The sequence below is a fragment of the Homo sapiens genome, chromosome 7, assembly GCF_000001405.40.
Source record: "Homo sapiens chromosome 7, GRCh38.p14 Primary Assembly".
NCBI lineage: Eukaryota > Metazoa > Chordata > Mammalia > Primates > Hominidae > Homo > Homo sapiens.
The window spans coordinates 47,298,596-47,324,402 of NC_000007.14; the positions used below are offsets into that span (position 1 = coordinate 47,298,596).

The 25,807-nt window shown below is 45.6% G+C and overlaps 1 protein-coding gene across 25 annotated transcripts in view, besides 1 other annotated feature; it reads right to left on the reverse strand.

Moving 5' to 3' along the window:
- The window catches only part of TNS3 (tensin 3), a 307,433-nt gene that overhangs the window by 23,442 nt on the left and 258,184 nt on the right, over nt 1-25,807 (reverse strand). For all 25 annotated transcript variants that reach the window (XM_047420733.1, XM_047420729.1, NM_001410878.1 and 22 more), the window contains 3 exons: nt 6,237-6,408; nt 4,355-4,989; nt 3,591-3,677 (listed from right to left, as the gene is read on the reverse strand). In XM_047420733.1, coding sequence (XP_047276689.1) covers nt 3,591-3,677; nt 4,355-4,989; nt 6,237-6,408 — 894 coding nt within the window. The remainder of the gene's footprint in view (nt 1-3,590; nt 3,678-4,354; nt 4,990-6,236; nt 6,409-25,807) is intronic.
- Nucleotides 16,456-17,258: an enhancer, noted in NCBI's record as "H3K4me1 hESC enhancer chr7:47354649-47355451 (GRCh37/hg19 assembly coordinates)". NCBI's record gives its function as "activates a minimal SCP1, AML or CMV promoter by ChIP-STARR-seq in primed H9 embryonic stem cells {active_cell/tissue: H9 hESC(primed)}" and the evidence as "EXISTENCE:reporter gene assay evidence [ECO:0000049][PMID:30033119]".

A 25,807-nucleotide genomic window follows, 5' to 3' on the forward strand; every position in this document is an offset into this window, starting at 1 on the left:
TGCTGCCTTTCTGGAATGCCAAAGGCTCTGCCTGGAAGCGATCAGGGCGCAGAACATGAACCAGTAAGTGCTGGGATGCCCCCGGCATGCCTCAGTAAATACCTCCACGGCGCACTCCCACAGAGGCCCCTCACATGCCCCCAGGCCTGACCGGACCCACAGCCAAGGCATCTGTCTGGCCATAGGATGAAACGAATGGTTTCTTTTACACATTTTTCAATGTCTGCACCGTGGCCCTGTGCACAGGATGAGGGCACGGGGAGGAGCTCAACATGCCCCTGGGGATGAAGCAGGAGCTTCTAAACAGCACGCAGTGGGAAGGATGGGCAGGAAAACACAGGCAGGCTCACCGTGCATGCCCGAGACTGCTGGTAGCTCCAGCCAGGCCTGCAGCCGCCCATGCAAGGGACCCAGGGCTGGGTGGGGGGCCTCCTGGGGCAGGGCACAGGCCCTGGGAATAAACCCTGAATTCTGGTGCACGTTTTCTCACAGCGTAGTCTATAAACTTGGGGGCTGAACGTGAATGACATTTTTTCAGTTTTTAATTTTTATTTTTTTGAGATAGGCTCTCTCACTCTGTTGCCCAGACTGAAGTACAGTGACACAATCATAGCTCACTGCAGCCTCAACCTGCTGGGCCCAAGTGATCCTCCCACCTCAGCTTCCTGAGTAGCTGGGACTACAAGTGTACACCACCACACCCAGCTAATTTTTAAAAATTTTTGGTAGACACTGGGTCTCACTATGTTGCCCAGGCTGGCCTTAAACTCCTGGGCTCAAGTGATCCTCCCACCTCAGCTTCCCTAAGTTGCTGGGATTATAGGAGTGAGTCACTGCGCCGGGCCTACTTTTTTGTTTTCTCTAAGTAGGACAAAAGATCACTTACATTTTGTTTCAACTGTGATATACCTCAGAGCTTTTCTTTTTGTAAGTCATGGTTCTACTTCTCTGTGGTAAATAAAGTGTAGAAGCCTCACGGGACTGAGACTTTGGGCACCTGTGGATGGCAGTGGAGGGAACACGGGCTTTGCTCCGACCAGTTCTCCCCATGCCAGGAGGGAAGCCCCAGCTGCCAGGCTGCAGGGGTGCAAGGGGGCTGTGCTCTCCTGCACAGGCAATGGGAGTAAGAGGAGAATTTTAGACCCGCTGTTTTTCCAAACAGAAGTAGGCTGAGGAGCCTGGTGTGCTGAAGTTGGAAAAACGAGCGTCCACACACTGCACACAGCAGCTGCGTGCTCCACCCTGGCACTGGCATCGCATTCCTCACCTGGAGACAGGGATGAGGGGAGGGGAGGCAAGTGAGTCTCCTCGCACCTTCTCACACTGTCGCGCCCTGCATCTGGAGAAGCATCTGGAGAAGCAACACCCCAGAAGTACAACTGGGACAGTAGTACTTAATTTTGATTTTACTTTAAGGTCCTCTTTTCCTCCTGAGGTATTTTTATGTTAGCTTTAAGAAACCTCAAGGAATTAAGTATGTGACAAATTGCACTCCCAAAGAGGTTATCTGGGTGTTTTTTTTCCTCCTGCATCACCCTGAAATGTCATTGTAGCTTTTCTAGAAAAAGGCACATCTGACAGTTAAAATCCAAATAAATGACACCCAAGGGCAGCCTTCCGCTGTTTGGAGACTCTGACACGGGCAGTAGAAGGTTCGTCTGCACAGGTCTCTTCTATGTAAAATATGTAGAAAATGAAAGTTATCCTTTTAGAGCTCAGCTGGAAAAACCAACACTCGATGCACATGTTGGCCATCCTGAGATGGGGTCCTCCCAGCAAACCTTCTACAATGTGTGCTGAAGATCAAGCACATGCCAACAGCAGCCCCTACACATACTGCACATCCACATCCACTTATCCTGCATCTACCAGGCGCCAGCAAGGGCAGGTACCTTCCACATGGCACTGCTCTCAGCAAACCCCCGCGGCAGGCTCGAACCTTGCTACCCTGCCGAGGAAGCCAGCAGTGCACTCCAACCCAAATCTGTCTGTTTCAGATCCCCCCTGCTACAATGACATTGCACAATGAGAGAAGGGGGCATCCAGCCCCACACATCGCCCTGCCCTAGAAGACGGCACCAATAGAGTGGAAGGGTCTGTGCAGAATCTCTTAGGTGCTGGATAGGCACCTCTCAGTTTGGCCAGCTGGAGGAGGTGCCGAGGCACTGGGGGCCACAGTCATCGGGATTCTTGAGACACAAGCAGGGCCAGGGTGGTGGCAACAGGCACACAGCATCCGGCCGCAGAGAGGCCCTCAGCCATGGTGAGCAGTGTTTCACAAAGGCCAATTCAGGGAAATGAAGGTCTTTCCAGGCCACAGGCTTTTTTTTCTCTCTCTTCCACTTAAAATGACAATCGCTTCTTTGAGATCATAAGAGATGCACATTCTTACCATTTCTGTCATCTACATAACTGAATAGCAGAATTTCAGTGGAGAGCTGGACAGAGCTATTTTTCTGCCACTCAACTATTCATTTCTAGGCATTCCTGAGGCATCTTCATAAGGAGAGAGCTTGATTTTCTTCTGAAGTTGAGGTAAAGAGGCACAGAGGAGCCAAGTGGGTCTCCTGCTGACTGCGGGCAGCTTGTCATTTCTCACCGCTTTAAACCAACCCATTCCCTCTTTCACTCCAGCCTCCACCAGGTGGCCACCGGGATTCACTTTGGTTCCTAGGAATCCTGACTCCGTCTTCCAGGCACTGGAGGCATGGCCCTGCCCTGCCTTGCCAGTCACACACCATCTCTTCTGAGGTATATCCCAGAAGCAACAAACTCTATGCACTGCCAAAATGAGGTATCCAGAGGAAGGTACGCTCAGCTGAGACACAGCATCCAGGGAGAAAAGCCATCCCACAGCCGAGGGAAGCACCTTATGAATTCTCCTCATTGCCCAGGGGCTGTCTCCAAGCAGGGCTGCCCAGAAGAGCTTGCTAGCCTTCCTCTCCCACATCTCTTCTATTCATGCTCTGGTAAAAAGTGATGCTCAAAATATTCAAATATTCATTGCTCAAAAATTAGTATTAATGATTTCAAATTAGAAAAAAAAAAAAAAAAAGCCTGACATTGTACCAAGCAGAGAGATGCTCTGTCTGGTTTGTGTGTGAGGCATGCGGCTAAGTCCACAACCGGGTCTCATTATTAAGTGCTTATGTAGGTGTTCACAAACACACAGTGTCCCTGACTTCTCAGAGGAGGGTGTCTCTCCTGCTTCCTCACCCTGTCCTCTCTGGTTTCATGGAGATGCAGGAGAGTGTGTCTCCTCCTCACAGTCAGCAGTTGTGGGCTGGCATCACTGGCAAGCCAGTGGCTGGTGCAAGCAGCCAGAAATTACACCCTACACACTGGAATGCTCATGGCTGGGGCCCATTCCTCACCAACTCCCTCATTAGTAGTGAGTTTTCCCCTATAAAAACTTAAAGGTTGTAGCATGTCCCCAGGAGGCATGGAATAACGTGTGGGCCCTGCTCAAACTCAATCCATATGAAGGCCACGGCTGCCCGATGTTCCCACCGCAGGGCCCATCTTCACACAAGGCAGCGAAGCGGGCACTAGGGCAGATGCCCAAGGAGGCCCTCATCCTCCCCACATACCTTGTTCTCTTGAAATATCCGCCTTGTACCAGAACTTGGAAGTGTCTTGAACAAATTTCACGATCACAAGTTTATCACCTGGACTATCTGTAAAGCAAAATTTAAAAACAGTGACCATGATGGGCACTTTTCTTCTTGCAACCTCTCATCTGCTGTGATCCCAGAAGTCCAAATCCCATGCCAAGGGCAAGCAAGCGAGCGATGTTCTAAGGAAAGGGAACCCTGCCTTTGAAATGACTGAGTTGGAGGAGGCAGTGACTGTTTTATAACACAAAACAGAACAACAGGATGCTTGGATTGAGCCTTTGCAATACATTTTAAGAATACATAGGAAGGTAGTGAGGAAAGAGAGGGTAAGGTTGGTGTTGTTCAACCCATAGACCACACTGCTTCTTATACACTTGAAATATTTCATAATGACGTTTTGGATGAATTAATTTAATTTGACAAGGAATTTGTTATTTACAAAAAGCCATGTTCCCAAGTGACATGGAAAGTAGAACCACTGCAAATGTCTGCACTTTCTACAACTGGAAGGAATCCAAGGTGGCCAAACACAGAAGCCAAGAAGAGTGAATGAAAAGCCTGAGCCAGTGCTTGGTTTTGGACGAGGAAAATGGAAAAGTACCCCAACGGCTCTGGATTTCCTCTCCAGGTGCCCAGCCCAGCACTAGAGATATGCCAGCTCAGCTGCAGGTCTGAACCCTTCCCTTCCCCAGTGAATGGACAGAGGGGCCCTTCCAACCAGCTGGAAACACACCTACCTGGCAGAGGTGAGGCCGCTTCTGAAGCCTTGGAAAAGTCGGGAAGGACATTTGGGAAGGGGATACTGATGGTGCTCCCGCTGTGCGGGCTGGAGAAGCCACTGGAGGAGGGAGAGACTGAGCCCAAAGAACGATCCCCCTCCGAGGCCCGCTTCTTCTCAGGGAGGGGTGGCTGCCCGGGCAGGGTCACACCCTGGCCCTGCAGGCCTGGACTGTGGTGGCTGCTGTGTCCAGGCGCCACCGTGAGAAAGTTGTGGGACAGGAAGCCATTGTCGGCAGCCCCTGTCGCTGTCAGCGGGATGCTGGGGGTCGGTGACGCTCCATGAGAATTGGCCAGCAAGGCCCCCAGGTCCTCCTCGGGCGGAAGGCCACTTCCCACTGGGGCGGTGCCGAAGCCCAGGAAGGCCTGGCTGCTGGGAGGCGCCAGGGAGTCCGGTGGCTCTGCTAGGGACAGCTCATGGCTGTGGAAAGGAGCCTGGAGCTCTGACGGCGGGAAGCAGGACAGCACTGGGGAGTCCTTCCTGGTACCGGAGAACTCAGCGCTGAGGGGACTTCCGGTGGGCCGGCCGCTCCCCAGCAGGGAAACCATGGGCTTGGGGCTGCTCTCCACCCACTGGCGTTCTGCAGAAGAGGAGCTGTTCAAAAGACAAGCCGACCAAGACAGCATGTAAGGTACAAAGAGACACCTGAAGACCAGCAAGCGTCACCCACACGGGAAGACAGGGATGGGGAAGTGGGTGCTGAGGCCCTCCAGGCAGCACAGGAGGTATTTTCCAAAATATGTACACTAAGGCCCTCTCTGAGCTCACGCTGCCTGCCTTTCAAGCCCCCATTTCATGCCTGGATGCTGCAGCCCGCATGAGGGCACCCAGGGGAGCCGCCCCATGAAGGCCTCCACATGCGCAGATGCTGCTCCCTCGGCCCCTGCGCCTTCCCTCCTGCATCTTCACCGGGTCAAGGCCCTTTCGTCCTTTAAGACGCAGCTCAGCTGTGCACCCACTGGGAAGCCTTTTCCTAGCCCTTAGCCAGCACCTGTGGCCACATACACGTGTGCCCTCGGGAGTAGAAATGCCCTCCCGTCTTGTCCCACAGCACTAGGCAGGGATGCCACCCACATTCATCCCCCGCAGCCAGGCCGTTGGTTCACTGTGGGTCCCCTCCTCCTCGCAGCATGATCCCTCTGCCCCATCTCCTTTATCTGCCAGATACACCATCAGTCCTCAATCCATGCTTGCTAGATGAACCAGTTGATTAACGGATACCACAAAGACTACTGGAAATTACCAACCACTTACGAGTACGGAAAGACAGCTAAAACCACACCACGTGACACACGTATTTCACTAGCAATGGAACATTCATGGGTACAGAGTCTATGCGTAATGTCCTTAAATGAGGGCTCCTCTTTTATTTTAAGGAGAACAGAGGTAGAATTTAAAAAGTTAAATAGGGAGCTACGTGTTCATACAACAAAGCATAAAGAAACTTATTCCTACTCTGAGCAAGTGGAATGGTCTCACGTATGAATGTCCTCAGGGGTAGTATCTTTGTGAAGCAGAAATAGGCCATTTTTCCCTGTTAATACCCACCCTCTCCCACCCCCAGGTCTTTCTGTAAACCAGAAGCCCTCTAAGACTGATTTTTCCTGTATTTCCTGTATGTCCCTATATTTTCTCGTATGTCACCACATACACCTGTCCCCGGCGGTAGCAGTGTCGTGCACACAGCCCTGGTCCCCTGCCCCGCCCCATCTTCAGGCCAGTCCCTGCCTGGTCTAGCTTCAGCTTCTCTGAAGAGCAAGCCCCCGCTGGTCCCACATGCCTCTCAGCATTCTGGGTCTTTAAGGGGAACTTGTGCCAAGTTTAAAGATCCATCTTCTTACCTCTCTCTCCTCTGCCCAGGGCCGTTGCTGGAAATGGTGCAGGAAGAAGCAAAAGCCTGCTGAAAGGAGGGCGTCGAGGACGCATCAGCCCGGAGCATCGTGGATTTGGGTCCGATGGGGCTCTCTGACATCCCCACAGCGTGAGTGAGCGTCTCAGGGCAGCTTCGTGGTTCTGTAGCGGGAACACAGGAAGCAGAGAGACCTCGGTTGTAGGACTGGAGAAGTCATAATCTCTGCTGCTTTTGCATGTTCCACAAGAAACAGTGCTGACTTTGAGGCTTTCTGTCATCCATGGCCATACTGAACATGACATCACTACCCGTAATAGGCTGGAGGAGGCGGCCAGCCCTGCACCCACAAGCATGGGTTTATTCTCACCCATCACTGTTTCCAAAAATAAAGCGACCTAATTCAGTCCCCCACAGTGTCCAGCCCATTACCACGAGCTGGTCATGTGAGGAGATGCACATTGGGCCGCCTGGGCTGGTCCTCCCAGCCCCATCCCCCACAAAGGCTGATGTCCTGTAATGTACTCTCCACTCCATGATCTAGGCTGCACCTCACTTTAGAATTGGCATGGCCTTTCCTCTGCAAACCAGCAGGCGACTTCTCCCAATAAAGACCATAAGTGCAGGCCCTGCGGCAGCCGGGCGGCCTAGGTGTCCTCCACCTTCCTTTGGTCCCTACCCTCCCCCCAGCTGGTAACTGGGCCATCAACATCGAGCACTATGAGGGTGCAAACCCATGCTGCTGCTTTCCAGGTCAAACCCCGCTGCTTCAAAGGCCACACCGTGGGGTGCAGAAGCCACCCTCGCAGGTGGGCCAGAACGCAAACCTGCTTGTGTCCCATGCCTGAGCCCAGGCACATTCCTCTGACAGAATTTCTGTTTGGTTTCTTGCCCAGCAGCTGCATTATTTCTGGATATTTAAAACATCTTACCTTTTATATTTTTTCTTTTTTTAAACCAGGCTTCAAGAAATGGACAAATCTACCATGGTCAGTAAAATAATATTATTAGAAATACTGGTCAGTTTGTTTTCTGTTTCAAAACTAATGAGGATTGATAAGAGAATATTAATGTAGAAAAAAACTCCATATTATTCATTTCCTGGAGAGGGTATTGAAATTTAGAGATTTCCAAATAATGCTGTTTTCCCTACAACTCACAGGACTATCACCTCACATGCTTGAAATATGTGTTATTTTAATTATACTGAAAAAAAGGCTACCTTCTTTACCCTTCAAATGAAAACCAATAATAAAACTGAATACCAGAATCACACTTTATAAAAATGACATTTACTAAGAATACTCTGAAAGGAATTATCAACAGCATATGTGATTTCTGAAGATGAAATACCTAGGGGGTTTTCATTAATCCAGGTGCCAATGAGCACTGGTCTGTGGATTATTCAGACCAGTGAGGAATTATATCCAAAAAAAGCAAGGGAAAGCCCTGACCACTCAACTAAATTACCTCCACATACAGGATGTAATATCCTGGTTTTTTAAAAAAAATTGATCTCTACAGAATTTGCACTATCAATTCACAAATGGAATGCACTTCACTCCAATGAGGTAAACAAGCTCCATCTCTACCAAGACAGAATGAACATTCTAAAAATTATATGGTATCCCCACATATGTGAAGTGAAGCACTTTTTTGGTCACACGTCATTTCAATATGAATTAAAAATTACTATTTTTATTTAGCACGAATTCTTTTCCTAAGGAAACCTTAGAGAATTTTTTTTTTTTTGGAGACGGAGTCTCGCTCTGTCGCCCAGACTGGAGTGCAGTGGCGTGATCTCGACTCACTGCAAGCTCCACCTCCCGCGTTCACGCCATTCTCCTGCCTCGGCCTCCCGAGTAGCTGGGACTGCAGGCACCTGCCACCACACCCGGCTAATTTCTTTTTGTATTTTTAGTAGAGACGGGGTTTCATCATGTTAGCAAGCATGGCTACGATCTCCTGAACTCGTGATCTGCCCGCCTTGGCCTCCCAAAGTGCTGGGATTACAGGTGTGAGCCACCACGCGTGGCCTAGAATTTTAAAATATATTAATCAGCACACAAAATGTCTGGAGTTATGCCTAAATTAACAACTATCCTAAGTTATCTAATAGACCTTGGTAGAGAAAAAGTGAACTTTAAATGTTTAATTTTTCATGAAACTTTAAAAACCACACCTTTATATATTGAGGTATAACTAATATACAAAAAACTGGATATGCTTAAAGTAAATAATTCGGTCAGTTTGTCATATGTAAACGTCCATGAAACCATCATCATGATTGAGATAATTAACAGTTACATCATCATTCCAAGAGTTTCCTCCAGCCCCTTCTCCTGCTCATCTGGTTTATGTCACTTTGCTTTAGTGTGCATTTCCTAAAATTCTACATGAATAAAATCATTCATATAAACTCTTTTTTTCCTCTACTTTCACTTAAGAAATTATTTTGAGATTCCGCCACATTGTAGAATGTATACATAGCTCATTGCTTTTCAACGGTGAGTACTTTTCCATTGTATGGACATATCACATTTTCTCTGTCCATTTACCTGTTGATGGACACTTGGGTTGTTGCCACTATGGGGCTGCTACATATAAAGCTGCAATGAGTATTTTTAGACACTTTTGGGTGAATACCTAGGGATGGAATGGCTGGACCATATGGTAAGTGTCTATGTAACTTTTTAAGAAAATGCAAAGCTGCTTCCCAGAATACTTGCAGCATTTCACATCCCCACCATCAATCCTGCCCCTACTTGGTATGGTTGGCATTTCGAATTTTAGCCATTCTAGTGCTGGCGTAGTGGTATAACACTGTGTTTTTAATTTGCAACTTTATTAATTACTAATGATGTTGAACATCTTTTTGTATGCTTATTAATAGGCATTTTTATGTGTTCTCTGGTAAAATGTTTGTTCAAATCCTTTTCCTTTTTTTCACTAGGTTGTTTGCTTTCTTAACACTCAGTTGTAAGAGTTCTTTATATATTTTAGATGCAAGTCCCTTATCATATATATGATTTGCAAATATTTCTTCTGAGTCTGTTGCCTGTGCATATATTCACTTAAGAATCTTTTGAAGAACAAAATCTTGTAATTTAAGTCCAGTTTATCAATTTGTTCTTTTAGGAATAGTGTGTTTGGTGTTGTATCTAAAATAGTATCTGCCTAATCCAGTCACAAAACATGTTTTTCTGTTTTCTTCCAAAAGTGTAATAGTTTTGGAAGAAACTATAAACATAAGCCTATGATCCATTTTCAGTTAATTTTTACACATGGTGTGAGGCATATATATCAACAAAGTTTAGTTTTTTAAATATGGATATTCAATGGTACCACTACCATTTGTTGAGACTATCTATTCTTCATTGAATTGCTTTTGTAATTTTATCCAAAATCAGCCAAATGTTAAATCCATCTAGGTTATTTTTCATTTCAGACACTGGAGTTTCTCTCTCCAGTGAAGTTTGGTTTGGGTCTTTTTATATGTTCCACGACTCTACTTAACTTTTTGAACACATTAAACATAGTAAAAATAAATGTCTTAATGTCCTTGTCTTAATGTTCATAATCTTAACATTAGTTTTGTGTCCTCATTAGTTTTGTTTTGCTTTCTCTCTTAACTATATTGCTATTTTCAGGCTTCTTTGATTGCCTGGTAATTTTTGATTGAATGCCAGACACTGTGATTTTATGTTTTTGGATGCTGGATATTTTTGTATTCTTATAAATATTCTTGAACTTTATTCTGGGATGCAGTTAAGTTGCTTAGAAACATTTTTATCTTTTTGGGTCTTGCTCTTCACATTTGTTAGGAAGGCCTGGAGTCATGCTCCATCTAGTGCAAGTTATCCCCCACTACTGGGCAAAACCCTTCTGTATATCACTCAATGCCCAGTGAATCTTGATACTTTCCTCTCTTGCTCATGAGAACAGGCACTCTTCCCAGCTTTGAGTTAGCACTGGGTTAGCCTCTCTTTCCAATCTTTTCATTTGGTTCTTTCCCTGGCCTTCAATGTCCCTAATGTCCTCCTACCCAACGCTCAGTTGAATACGTATGGCGGATCCTCTGCAGATCTCCAACAGCTCTCTCTCTGTTCAGCCTTCTCTCCATCCTGCAAGTCATTGTGGTCCCCTGGAGTTTCAACTCCAAATGCCCAACTCAGAGTCTCCCAGATTCTGCGTGAGTTTCCTCTCCCTGCCTTACACCTGGAAACTTTGTCTAGGCGGTAAACTGGGACAACTGTACTGTCACCATGTTTGTTTCTTACTTTTCAGGGATCGTTGTCTTTCACTGCCTGATGCCCATTGGCTTGGAAGCCATTATTTCATATAGTTTGTCCATTTTTTGTTTGTTCAGTCAGGATAATAAATCAAGTCTCTGTTACTCCATCCTGACCTGAAGCATACATCTCTAATCTTTCATATTTAAAGACGAACAATTCACTGAAATTAAAGTTAACTTATCAATTATTCAATAATTATAAATTATTGAAAACTCTATAAATTAATATCCCCAAGACTTAAGAGTATTTAAAATGAAAAAGAGCAAAAAAAAAATATGCTATGAGAGTATGTTTAAAACATAACTGTGGAATAATAAAAATAGCTCAACAAGCCGGAGGTTTGTGTTTGAATTTAAAGTAATTTGTTTTACCTTTCTCAGTTTACCACCTCACCGATAAATAGGATTAATACTGCTACCCACCACAGAGGGTTCATTAGTAGGCTAAAAGGGAGGATGAATAATTTACACAAATGTTCAATGTTATGGCTAAAGAGAAAGAGGTTAAACAGATGTTTATCCAGTGAGGTAGAAGAAGCCAGAATGTTAGATTGTTCACTGCAGGTCGTCAAGAAAGGTGGAAAAACATGCTTATCAACAATCTTGGAGACATTACAATCTGTAAACCCTTATCTATCAAAGATGGCCACATCAGCTGCATCAGCTCAAAGCCAGTACTAGAAAGAGAGAGCATGTTAATTTTCAGTTACAGTGCAGGAGTTAAACTTCCACTAAGGACAATTATGAAAGCTACACAAAATACTAACAACAATAGTTTGAACCCATTCAGATCGCCCAAGGCAGCCAGGGCTTACTGGGCCAAAACCTCCAGGGAAGGGAGCAGGAGATCCATGGCCATTTTTCCTTCTCAGACATGGACCCGTTTGGAAGCATGTGGTATAGGGGCCATACACAAACTAGCAGTGGTAATCACACTGTTCTGGGGAGACCAAGTTTGGAGTTCAGAGCTACCAAGGCACCAGTTCTGGAAGTGCCAAGGTCTCAGAGAAATGAGGACTGCAGAGACAGAGTCAACACTCTGAGCATGTTTCCCCTCAAGGCATTTCTGAGTCCTAAGTGGCAGAGGTACAGGGCCCAATGCCCAGTAAACAAGACAAAGCCAGCTGCTACGAATCTAAAAAAGATCAGCAGGGATTGTGGCAGTCTCTTAGTGGATGCTAAGTAACCAAAAACGGCAGTTCAAGATGCACCTAGGAAGAGGGGCCTTTGCAAACACCACAAGGTTTCAAGGTGAGACCCTTGAAGGGCTACAAACTAGAAACAAGAGGACCATGACAGGATCTGATTAGGCAGCCTGGAAGAAAAATTATATCCTCTCTAAAGAACATGCCTCCCCCACCCAGAGCCTGACTTTGTCTATACTCTAAAAATACAGTATCAAATATTTAATTGTAAAAAAATGATCATCAATGCCAGGAAACATGACAAATGAAAACCAAGACTGCCACCACCCCACACACAGAAAAAACGCCCACAGCTAGTTCAAAAATTGATGTTAAAAGCCACAGATACTAACATAACTGAACAGAATGTTTAAGAAAGCAGAAGCAAAAAGAATTTCACCAAAGAACTGAAGTCCATTAAGAATAATCAAATGATGTTCCCTGCCCTGTGTCCAGGTGTTCTGATTGTTCAATTCCCACCTATGAGTGAGAACATGCAGTGTTTGGTTTTCTGTCCTTGTGATAGTTTGCTCAAAATGATGGTTTCCAGCTTCATCCATGTCCCTACAAAGGACATGAACTCATTCTTTTTTATGGCTGCATAGTATTCCATGGTGTATATGTGCCACATTTTCTTAATCCAGTCTATTATTGATGGAAATTTGGGTTGGTTCCAAGTCTTTGCTGTTGTGAATAGTTCGCAATAAGCATACGTGTGCATGTGTCTTTATAGCAGCATGATTTATAGTCCTTTGGGTATATACCCAGTAATGGGATCACTGGGTCAATAGTATTTCTAGTTCTAGATCCTTGAGGAATCTCCACACTGTCTTCCACAATGGTTGAACTAGTTTACAGTCCCACCAACAGTGTATAAGTGTTCCTATTTCTCCACATCCTCTCCAGCACCTGTTGTTTCCTGACTTTTTAATGATTGCCATTCTGGGGGCAGGGGGAGGGATAGCATTAAGAGAAATACCTAATGTAAATGACGAGTTAATGGGTGCAGCACACCAACATGGCACATGTATACATATGTAACAAACCTGCACATTGTGCACATGTACCCTAGAACTTAAAGAGTGTGTGTGTGTGTGTGTGTGTGTGTGTGTGTGTGTGTGTATACATATATATATAGAGAGAGAGAGAGAAAGAGAGAATAATCAAATGGAAACTCTAGAACTCAAAACAAAATAAATGAAATTAAGCATTCAGTTCATGATTTTATCAGCAGACTAAACACAGCAAAAGAAATTGTGAGTGAACTGGGAGAAAAATAGGAAGAAAATATGCAGTCTGAAGCATAAAGAGGAACAAGACTGAGAAATACACAAAAGACAGTAAGACATGAGAAATGATTCTTAAAAATTCTAACATACCTATAATTGGAGTCCAAGAAGTTGTGGAGAAATTGAATGAGGCAGAGGCAATATTGGAAAATATACATACTGAGAATTTCCTAAAAGACTCAAGAAATCAAGCCACAAGTTAAAAAACAAAACAAACAAACAAAAAACCTAAGAAGGATTAATAAAAAGAAAATTACACATAAGCACTTAATAGTAAAACTTCTGAAAAATCAAATACAAAGTCTGAAACACAGTGCCTTGTCCATTTTGGGGGAAAGGACGAGACACCAATTTCCGCACTAATGTTTTCAACATTTAATCATGTTTCCATTATAGAAAAGCCCAGTACTAATGTTCTGTTTGTATGAACATACTGTTAAGACCCTTGGGAATGGTGTGTCTGCTGCACCCAACTGTAAATACCATGACCATCTCAAGGCCAGGCCTGGCAAATGCTCAGTTTGTGTCATGAATACATGTGCACGTTTTCTGCTATGACTGACCTGTAAATCCATAGAGCAGATGCAGTTGTGTGACTGACCGCCCCTCCTCCCAGTATGGCCCACAGGAAATGTCCTAAAATAAGTGTTTGCTGAATTTATTATTTCTTTCTATTAAAGCTGGGATAGAAAAACAAAGATGCATGGAGTTTAAAACCATCCCTCTGCACCCTCACTTCTATTCCCAGTACTAAGATGACTTATCTCCATTTGTGTTTGTCCGTATTTCTTTTCCATTAAAAATGTCTTTGCTGGGGCTGGGTGCGGCGGGTCATGCCTGTAATCCCAGCACTTTGGGAGGCGAGGCAGGCGGATCACCTGAGGTTAGAAGTTCAAGACCATCCTAGCCAACATGGTGAAACCCCGTCTCTTCTAAAAATACAAAAATTAGCTGGGTGTGGTGGTGTGTGCCTGTAATCCCAGCTACTCGGGAGGCTAAGGCAAGAGAATCACTTGAACCTGGGAGGCAGAGGTTGCAATGAGCTGAGATCATGCCACTGCACTCCAGCCTGGGCGAGAGAGCAAAACTCTGTCTCAAAAAATAAAAATAAAAATAAAAAAATAAAATGTCAGGGGGAGGGGGGAGGGATAGCATTAAGAGATATACCTAATGCTAAATGACAAGTTAATGGGTGCAGCACACCAACATGGCACATGTACACATGTGTAACCTGCACGTTGTGCACATGTACCCTAAAACTTAAAGTATAATAATAATAAAATTAAAAAATAAAAATAAAAAATAAAATGTCTTTGCTGGGCACCAGTTTTCCACTAACATGGCCTACACCAGCCGGAGAACGGAAGAGAGAAACAAAAGCGAAACAGGGAGTGCCTGCGTGTCCTGCTTGTGTCAGCCAGATGAGACCATGTGCAAATTACTACTGCATGGAGGAACATGTGAGGTGCAGCTCTTGAGCTGCAGGAGGACCCACAGGGAGACTTGCTTCATCTGGAGGGAGCTTCATCTGAAGGCTTCCTGGAGCAAGTGGCATTTGATGAATGCCATCCTGGAAGGATGGGTGGCATGCATTCTGACAAAACCACCTCATGGGTTCTTTGCTTATTGGGCAGGGGCCACTCCTGCCATTCACTGCTGTGTCCCCAGCACTGGGCTGGCACCTGTAGGAGCTCCATGTCATTCACATTGTGAATTAATGAATGAACTAGCAAAGGCTTAGAGGTTAGAGGGAGAGGTTCAGAGCATGACGTGGAAATACTGCTCAGGGGTCTGGTTCAGAGGAGTAGGTGGACAGTTGGTTGATCAGTTCCTAGGGTCTCATGCCAAGAAGCAGCACAGAACTTTGGAATAAAAAAAAGTTTATTAATCAAGTTTAATATGCCCACCTTATGGTTGGTTGGTTGAGCTTTCAAAGAGTCATATAAGAGAGGAGCACATACCCAGCACAGCATGCAGTACCTGTTTCTATGACTGACATTGCTCTTAGTGGTTCCCACAAAGCCACGGGGGCAATCCCTGGTGCTTCACATCCCTGTTTACAGAGTCCCCGTGCCTCAAGGCTCTAGAAGACCCCATGCCATGACTCAGAAGCCCTCAATGCACTCCCATGGCGCCTGGGAATTTCACCAAATGAGAAGAGGCTGAAGGAAAATAAAATCCACTTTGTTCCTGTTATCACAGTGCTTGTCCCAGAAAACAGCAAGCCCAGCAATTCCCATGAAAGTGGCTTTGTTTATCATTCAATTAGCACCAACTCTGGGGCACTCTGGCTGTGTAGTTCCCTCTGTCAGACCAGTTCCTGACCGGGTGACAGGACTTAACCCTTTATTTGGAGAAGGGGCTGCTCAAAGCATCAGATTCCATGTTTATCCCAAGGACTTCAGCACAGGGAGACTTGGGCTTCCTGGGCCATTTCTCCTGAAGGTCCTTGGTCTTTGCCTGTGCTCAGAGATGCAAGTCGGCTAACAGAGTGCCACACAGCTCAATGCCACAGCAATTAATCCACTTATTAGATGGGCCTTGGCATTCCCAGATAAGTTGGGTGAGTGTCACATCTTCAGGTCAGTGCAGTCACTTCCAGTGACTGGGACTGCAGACAGCAAGGAGGATGCTGACAGCAGCTACACTTTACACAGAACCTACACCCTGCAGGCGCTGTGCTTGGCACCTACCATCTCCACTTCCCTTAGGTCTGCACAGCTCCTCGAGATGTGCCCATGCTTAACGGAAGAGGAGAGCGAGGCAGCGGGAGCCTGGGTCCCTTTCTAAGTGCTCCTCTGCACTGTCCCTGCTGAGCATCTAGCAAGCACAGAACAGGAGCCGGCAGGGCTGGGGGAGGTGCACCAAAAATCGTATAGTCAAATGCACCAGTCAAGTGAGGATGATCTACCTACTGCAAACCCTTTTGCATGAGTTCACTTCATTTCTAGAAATGTGGCTCACCATAAGAACAGGCAGAATTGTTGTTGTTGCTCAACTTGTACATTTGATGTTCACGGTTAAACTACCATGAACATTTTTAGCAATGTTAAAAATGAGGACAGGACGTGGGCTGAGCTCCTTGTTGTGGGGCGATCAGGTGCCTGTATCCTCAGCTCTGTACCTAGAAGAGCCCAGGAGATGGCCCGGGGTGGGGATGACCGGGGTGAGGAGCAGATGGGATTTGCACCGTCTTGGACAGGGGCATCTGCGGAGGCATTAAGCCCGCTGCTCTCTCCAGAGCCCTGCGCCTGTGGCAGCCTGTCTCTCTGCTTCAGAGGTGGAGACATAAGGGCACCACAGTGAGCATAATGGTCCCTCAAAGCAACTACATGGAGGGTTTTCCGGTGCAGGCCAACTTCTACTAAGGCAAAAGCCGTCTTCCTGAGGCCATGCACCCCTCCCCTATGAAGATGTGTTTCCACAACGTGGGAGGCTCCAGAGGCCACACAGGGATGCTGTTTAGACCGTGTGCACGCCAGCACAGCCCTGCCAGCCACAGCCGATCTTGGGCCCTGAACAGACGCTCCTTTTAGTTCCAGCATCCTGCTGGCTCGGCCTCCTTCTGCCCTTAATTCCCACAATATTCTCACATTTTCCCTTTGCTGCTCAGACCCAGAGCAGGAGGCATAATACCGTTAGTGTGTGGAAACAACACTCATCTCACTTTCTGGTATTCCGCCTAAGCAGCTGGTGTCCCTGGTGCCCTGCGGGGGTGAGGTGGCCGGGAAGGCTGCTGCTGCGGGGCAGCCCCCCGGGACCGGGCTAGAACTTGGGAGGCGCGTGCCCGTCGTTCTGGGACTTCAGGAATGTCTATGCTCCTCTCCTCTCGGCTTCCACCTCCTTCATTTCCTTTACCCAGAACAAGGGTGACAGAGGGTCACGGGCCCTTTTCCAAACGATCTATTTTTATGCTCTCATCCAGGCTTCTGTGGGAAGCTGGATACCACTCATTCTCCAACGGCCACTATTTACATGACATATAAGTTAACAGGAAGAGGAGAAACCCACGGGGCTCAGGCAGGGCCACTGGCTCGCTCTTCGGAAGCCTTAGAGCCTGGCCAAAACCTGCAACCTAAATGTGTAAGGAGTTGTCAGACATATTAAACATTCATGAGGGATCCAAACATCAAAGTTCATCCTCAGGAACCATAACTTACTTAGCAAAAAATCAGGACATGTGACATTAAAAACAAAATCAGCATTTTCCTGTGTTCCCAATTTCCCGTGTTCCTGATAAGGCATAAAAATTATTCACTCATACATCAATTAGTAACTACAAATCGCCTTTGAATGTTTTATATCACCTTTAATGAAAAATAAAATAAATTTAGCTGAGGTCAATATTATAGTCTCCTATCCAAGTGAAGAAACTTGAGTTTTGTTAACTACCTAAAAATACAGTCTCAATCTTTGGCCCATAAATACACAGTCATATTCACAATAAACTTTCAGAAGTAAGTGAGACTATCCACCTAACTAACTATTTCTCTCTCTCTCTCTCTCTCTCTCTCTCTCTCTCTCTCTCTCTCTCTCTCTCCATTCTTTCCTCCCTCCTAGTCACATCCCGGGATTATTATGCAGTTAAATAGGAAGTATCTTTTTCCATTATTTGAGAGAGTTCTAAAAAAATGGAACATCAAATCTCTCGTATCCTTCTTCCATTACATTTCTAGGCGGGGAATTGGGGCTGCTGCAGAGAAACAGCTCAGATCTCCAAGTTCTAGCCTGAGCTCTTCTGCCATAAACCATGGGGTGTTGGGCACATTGTCAACCCCTGGGGCCTTCAGGATCTTCATTTACAGACTCACTTCAATTGGGATCAGATTAGATGATTTCTAGGGTTTATTTAGCTAGGAATTTTTAAATTCTAATTTAGAAAAGCAAGACTTTGTATTGGAGTTTCCTCAGTAGTGATTAGTTTTATTTTTTTGTTTGTTTGTTTTTGTTTTTTTTTTTTAAAGTCCTTATCTTCACTTTGGGAGGCCAAGGCAGGCAGATCACTTGAGATCAGGAGTTTGAGACCAGCCTGGCCAACATTGTGAAACACCGTCTCTATTCAAAATACAAAAGTTAGCCAGAAATCACTTGAACCCGGGAGGTGGAGGTTGCAGTGAGCCAAGATCGTGCCACTGCACTCCAGCCTGGGCAACAGAGCGAGACTCCATCTCAAAAAAAAAAAAAAAAAAAAGTCATTATCCTATAATTCTTTTGTTATTTGTCTATGAACAATCAGGCCATTTAACCAACCTTCTTGAAAGCAAAGAGAAAATGGCAGGCAGCCAGATATAATGAGAATTAATTAGTGACCACCCCAACACTGGAAAAGCATTTTCATGGTTTCCGATGAGAATCAAAGTCCTACAGATACAAACAAACAAACAAAAATGATGAAAAACCCACAAATGGATAAATAAATACTTTCTTGGTGTTGAATCTTTTCTTTTTAAAATCCTGATGTCAACATAATACAAATAATATGAAATTTGTTCTACAGCTTAAGGTCAACTGATTTCAGCAAATATGAGAAATGCTCTCAAAAGGATAAATTGTTTCTGTCTTTTTAAAGGAAGCAAGGTTCTTATTCCCCCAGTGAAGCCAGAATTGCTCCAGCCAGGGCTGAAATGGGAATCCTGTCCACCAAAAGCCGGGTGACCCTTTTATGACATTCTCATCACAATTGGAATTATCCCCTTCAAAAGAGACCATGCCACAGTCTTCCTTTTAAGCAATAACACAAAAGGAAGTAGAAAATGTAGATGCAATAGTTCATTACAGTTGGAGCCCTATTTTCTCTTATTCTTTGAAGATGTCCCATTTATATTCAAGGTTTTGATCAGACTGGAAAGAAAACACATTTACCAGTTTAGTTGGTGTTGTGTAGAGAATTCTAATGTTGAAACAGTGAAAACAGCGTTTTTCTTCATAGTGAGTGTTTCCCAAGCAGTTTTTACACTTGGGATGCACTAAGTGAGGCCAGTTCCTCCAGGGACTCACATAGTCCCTTAGCAACCTACAAGGGATGAGAGTTGTAAAAAAATGTGCTTTGGTTTGAGTTCTCAAGAAAACAAATGACTTCCTTCCTTCTAGACTTTAAAGAAAGATGACACTGAAGTGGAGCTACTGAGGCTGCCTAGAGACCACATCAAGCCTGCAGACAGAGCCAACACACAGCTGAGAAGATCAGGGTCTAGGGAGTCACTGGAAATAAATGTGTGAGAGAGACAGAGAGAGAGACCCACCCGCTGAGTGGCCAAGGAGTCCTCATGAAGCCAAATCTGAGGCCACAGCCACCCACAGCTGCTCAGTGAGTTTCGTTATTTTTCTCAAATTGTGATAAGACATACATAACAAAATTTACCATCTTAGCCATTTTTAAGTGTACAGTGCTGTAGCATCAAGTACATTCACTTTTTCGTACACCAACTATCTCCAGAACTTTATAATCTTACAAAACTATAACTCTTTCCCCATTGAAATAATTTCCTATCCTCCACCCAAGTCCCCACCATCCCACTTTCTGTATGTATGAATTCAATGACTCTAGGGACCTCATGTAAGTGGAATCATACAGAATTTGTCTTCTTGTGACTGACTTACTTCACTGAACACAATGTCCCTGAAGTTCTTCCATGTTGTAGTGCGTGTCAGAACGTCCTTCCTTTTTAAGGCTGAGTAATATTCCACTGCATGCATAGATCACATTTTGTTTATCCATTCAGCTGTCCCTGGACACTCGATAGCTTTCACCCTTTGACTTTGCGAACAGTTACATTTTCTCCTCTCTTGTTCCTTTAGCCAGTTTGAGTTGGGACTGGTTACTTGCAACAGGAAACAGACTCAGTGACACAATGTCCTTGCCTCAAAGCTGCTTCCAGTCCAGTGGGAGTGCAAACAGACAGGAATGCACCAGCACAGGGCAGTCAGGCCAGGGTGAGGGTATGCAAAGCAGCACCAGAAAAGAAAAGAGCCATCTGACCCTCCTCAGGGAAGCTTTCCTTATGCTGAGCCAAAACAAAACAAAAACAAAAACCCACAAACAGAGGAAGTATTGCCCTTCACAAGCAGAGAGAGAACCTGCATAAGAGGCTTTGAGAGCCCTGGGCTGATTATCATGATGGAGAATGGAGGTTACCATAATGTATACACCACGTCCACACAGGAGTGGACAGCGGTCAGAGAAAGCTTCAGGCAGCTCAAGATGATACCGGCGAGGGTCTATGCCAATGAAGAGGCTGTACCTAAGATGCTTGGTTCCAAGTCTTTAGTCCGCAGAATAATTCCAGTCTCATAACTGGACTTGTCCACAGGACAGGAAGTCTTGATGTTTTCTGTTTTCAGGCAGAATTCCCAGAGAATCTGGCTTTCCTTTAGAAACGGCACATGGGACACAGATGACATGTGCTGAACTTTGCCACAGCCCTTCTAAGGAAAGGTCACTTTAGCCTGGTGGCTCAACAGCTGAAGTCCCGAGGAGTCCTGGTCCAGGATCATCATTTTGTCCTACAACCACTGTCTGAGTCCATGTGCACCGCTATATAGGAACAACCGAGGCTGGGCAATTTATTTTAAAAAGAGGTTTATTTGGCTCACGGTTCTGAAGGCTGTAGAAAAAGCATCTGCACCTGGTGAGGGCCTCAGGAAGCTTCCATTGATGTGCACTCTGCACACCCTCACCCTGGCCTAACCACCCCATGCCAGTGCATTCCTGTCTACCTCCACTCCCACTGGACTTGTGAAAGGAAGCTGGCATCACATGGTGAGAGGAAGGCGAGAGAGAGAGAGTGAGAGAGTGATAGAGAGAGAGACAGAGAGAGAGAGAGAGAGGAGGGGAGGTGCCAGGCTCTTTTTGACAATCAGTTCTCGTGTGAACTAACAGTGAGAACTCACTCGTTACCATGAGGACAGCACCAAGCCCTTCATGAAGTATCTGCCCCCATGGAGGGGACAAATATCCAAACTGTATCAATGACTGCACCATGGAAGTCTAAATCACATAAGGCCCAGGGGGAGAAACCTCCCCTGTAATCTCAGAAGTCTCTTACCATGACTTGAAAACCTTATTCTATGTGGCAGATTTCAATGGACCTGAATAGAATCAAAGACACCCTTAAAGGACCTGCCTGTCTAAGAACCCCTGTGGCACTCGGGGCATCTGCATCCCTTATGCCCACCAGCCCATGTGCCAGGGACCACAGGCAGCTAATGGGGGTTTCTCATGTAGTTTCAGAAACTGGAAGACTGCTGCTTTTGAGAGAATATCACTGGTCAGACTCTAACCAGGTCCCTAACCAGGCGTTGCCATCTTCACCCAGTATTTCTAAAGCGTCCTGTGAGCAATGAGGAATGCAACACTGGGAATCCTGTGTTAGGTAAGAATTCGAAACCTCAGCTTCACTTAAACCCTTCACTCAGTTAACAAAAAGATGTACTCTCATTGCAGTAAATATAAACAGAGACTCAGAATGCATTTTATCTTTGTTCAGAAAACATAAGTTATCTTTATAAATTATCACTATTTTACTAATAGTGACTATCTGCGCGGTGCTCAGTGGGCTTACTTGACCCTCAGAACAACTCTTAAAGGTGTGCACTCTCGTCCATCTATACCTGTGAGGAGGCCGAGGCTTCAGCACTTCCCCTCACCTGCACCTGGAGGGAAACACACGCACCACCCAGCTGGAGCAGGACTCAAACATGATTCTTGGGTTTCCCACCTCTAGCTCATTAGCACGAACCTCATTCCTTTTCCTTTTCACTCTGTCCACAGCTCTGTGAGTTAAGAGGAATCCTGGTATTCCACGAGTTGGGAGTATTAGTCAGCTTGGGCTGCTATAAAAAATACCACACAGTGACTGAACCAACAGAAATGTATCCCCTCCCAGTCTAGCAGCTGGAAGTCCAAGATCAAGGCATTGGCAGGGCTGGTTTCTCCCGAGGCTTCTCTCTGCGGTGCACAGATGGCCATCTTCTCCCTGTGTCCTCACATGGTCTTCCCTCTGTGTGTCTGTGTCCTGATCGCCCCCTTCTACAGGGACACAAGTCATGTTGGATGAGGGCTCACCCTAAGGGACCCACTTTCACCAGTCACCACTGTAAAGGCCCTTTCTCCAAACACTCACATCCTGGGGTTCGGGTTAAGGCATCATTCAACATAGGAATGTGCAGGGGGTGGAGGGAGTCACAATTCAGCCTAACACGAATTGTGTGTGGTTTGGGGAGATGCAGCCCCTCTATAAATGGCAGGAGAGTGACATAGGCCCTACTTCAGAGTTCTCAGGGAATCTGCCAAGTTAGGGCATGAAAGGTGTTTACAGCAGGGCCTGGCCCCTGGCAAGCACTCGAAAGATCCATCGCGACGAGGAAGAAATGAAAACTGACATGAGGCATGTGGCTTTTGAGGAGACCACACAGACTTTCTAATGTGTCCCTTCTGACTCTTGGAGCATGGGAATTCTGACCAGCCTGAGGCAGGACTCCAGGAGGAGCCAATTGTGCCAGAAAACCTGCATCTCATGGGGCCCTGAGCCAGCCCGAGGAGGGAGATGATGCGGCTTCACCCGCCTTCCTTCTTGGTCCCGATTCTCCTCTCTTTGTGTTTTTGTTTCACTAAGGTTTCCGATTCATACCATGCCTAATGGGTAGGCTACTCACTTTGCTGATGCAAGGGTCTCATTCTCAACCCACTGGTTTTCGGTGGTACCATTCTCCTTCAGGCTGGCTCTATGTTCTTCATGGGCAGCGTCTCCACGGTCATGCACCATGCCACTGGCTTCTGGACCCCGAAGGTGCTATGGAGCCCAGCTCCATTCCACTGAGTCCAAAACTCACGAATACAGAGGCCACCAGCACTACTGAAATGCCAGCAGGGTGTGTCGGCATTTGGAGGGCCTTCCAGCAAAGCTTTGAACATGCTATAATTGCTCCAATATAACAAGTGATGTTCCAATTAATAAGATAATTTACAGCAATCCACAGTCTCTGCCACAGGTGGTTCTCTCTCCAAGAGGGCTGTCCCGGGACAGAACTGGACAATGCTTGAAGCTCTCATCTGTCCCTCTGCCCATAATTACTCCTGTCTCATAGGAAATAAATTTAAGAAATAACCATTGTGCTCTGAGGGGAAGGAGGGAACAAACACTTGGGAGTTCAGAAAGACCTTCGCTCAAATAGACCAAATTGTCCTGATTTTACTCTACATTGTTTTCTTCCCCCAAAGACCATCCACTTAGAATGCACAACACAATATAAAAGACCTCCTTGTCTACAGCACTCAAGCCTCTCTCTAACCAGCAGTTCAGGGAGGGGGACCCACTGCTGAAGCTTCCCTCCTGCCCATCATCCACCAAGGTTTTCCTGATGATGAACATTCACTGAGGACTTCCCGACCCTCCCAGCTGTCCTGGAAGGAGGAGTCTCATTGGCATTCTACAAAAAGATTAAAGGCTAAAGAACTGTAAAAGCATCAAGCATCCCTCAGAACTGGTCCCTCAGCCCCAGGACCAGGGTCTGGGTACATTACATAGCCTTGACCTATAGAAGGAAGCTGATGCAACAGCAAAACCACAAACCAATGGGAAAGCACATGAGAGTGAAGTAGAACGGGCAAAAAAAAAAAAAAAAAAAAAAAGCAAAGGCCAGGTGCAGTGGCTCACGCCTGTAATCCCAGCACTTTGGGAGACTGACGCAGGCGGATCACGAGGTCAGGAATTCAAGACCAGCCTGACCAACATGGTGAAACCCCGTCTCTACTAAAAATACAAAAATTAGCCGGGCGTGGTAGTTCATGCCTGTAATCCCAGCTACTCAGGAGGATGAAGCAGGAGAATCGCTTGAACCCGGGAGGCGGAGGTTGCAGTGAGCCAAGATCGCGCCACTGCACTCCAGCCTGGGTGACAGAGTGAGACTCCGTATCAAACAAACAAACAAACAAACACACACACACACACAATCAAAAAAACAACCCAGTGAAATGAAAATTAACAAACATACCCTAGGAATGGAATGTTATGATTAGAAAAAGAAAAAAGAAAATGGTTTGTGAAAGCCTGTATATGACGAACATAAAACTGAGGGGAGTGCCTAAATATTCTAAGTTGCTGATAATATTTACCATGAGTCGAGTGCAGTGCTCAAGCTGGAAGGACTGGAGACCCCGCAGAATCACAGAAGCCCTACCCGGGGCATGAAGCCCTCTAAAGCCCTCAAGAGCAGCCTGCCTCCGCTCCCTGATTCCCTCTTACGGAGGCCCTCGGTGGCCACGGACCCTGCTCTATCTGGCACATGGCCAGTAGCACACTGCTGGAACCGTGTCAGAGGTGAGGCTGTGTCTCATTCACTGTCACATCACCAGGGCTTCCTACATAGGAGGCCAGCAGGGAGGGGTCCCCTGCTGAGGATTCATTGCATGGTAGGCACCCCGTCTCCAGCCCACCTGCAGCTCTGCACACCCTGGGCCGACCATGCAGCCAGTCTAGGGCTGGAGGTACCGCTCCTCGAGGCCTCATGTGCCCAGTCCCCAGTTGCTTTTTCTCACGGAGCCACATTTCTGAAATCTGTGCATACCTTTTCACCCACAGTGCATCCTGTTTTACCTGGCACTGTTTTCCCTATCTTAGTGTCATATAAAATGACAGCTTTTCTGAGAATCCACCTATCTTCGAATCTTCAAAAGAAACCCAAACCAAAGAGGCCAGAAAGAAGTGGCACATGCTTCCGGTACTGAAAGAAAAGAACTGTCAACTGTGAATTCTATATCCTGCAGAAATACCATTCAGGAATGAAGGAAAAATAAAGAAATCCAGAGATGAAGGAAAATGAAGAGATTTTGTTGTTTGCAAATGTCCCAGTAGGGAATGGCCAAAGGAAATTTTCTAAACAGAATGAAAATCATAAGATTTGGAACTTCCAAAAGGAAAGAAGAATGTTCAAATGAGTCAAAGTAAGGGTAAATATAACAGTCCATTCTTCTCATGAGTTTCTTAAGTCACTTTTTATAGTTGGAGCAACTAGCAGACATCATCACATGTGGTACTCACCATAAACGGATAAGATACTTCCAACAATTGTACTTTAAAAATGGGGAGGGTGAAGAAACTTAAATTGAAGTAAGATTTCTATGCTACGCTCCAAGTGATAAAATAATACAAGTAGCCATAAATAATGACAAGTTATGTATATACCAAGAGCGAGGACTAAAAAAACTACAGGGAGGGATATACTCAAAAATACTATCAATAAATAAAGACAGAGTTTCCCCTAAATGATAAATAAATCCACAGTAAGGCAGGAAAAGAGAAACAGAAGAGCAGAAGACAGGAAGGAAAAAATCCGGAAAAACGTATGCACCCGGATTTTCTACTAAGAATTTATTTGACATTGACATCCTTGGTCCATCTGGAACTGATGTTGGCATGTGTTATAAAAGGGATCCATTAACCTTTTCTACCTGGCAAACCTCAGCTCTATTTATGAGGCAGCTCCTCTTTCCCCTCCTGACCTGGCTGCCTGTTTTGTCTGGCACCAAAGTTCCAAGCATGTGCTGGTCTGTTTTGCACTTTCATCTGTTTGTTGGTCAATTTATCTGTCCTTGTACCAGCTCATGTTTACCGAATTTTCTATCTTTGTGGTAAGTCCTCATTTCTAGTAGTTGTATACTGGCTACTGAGAATTTTTACTTTATTATATAAATTTTGAATCAGCTTATCAAGTTCCACAAAATAATCTGCTGGCACTCTGACTGGAATTAAATTAAGTACACAGATGAAATTGGGAGGGTCCAACATGTTTGTGACAT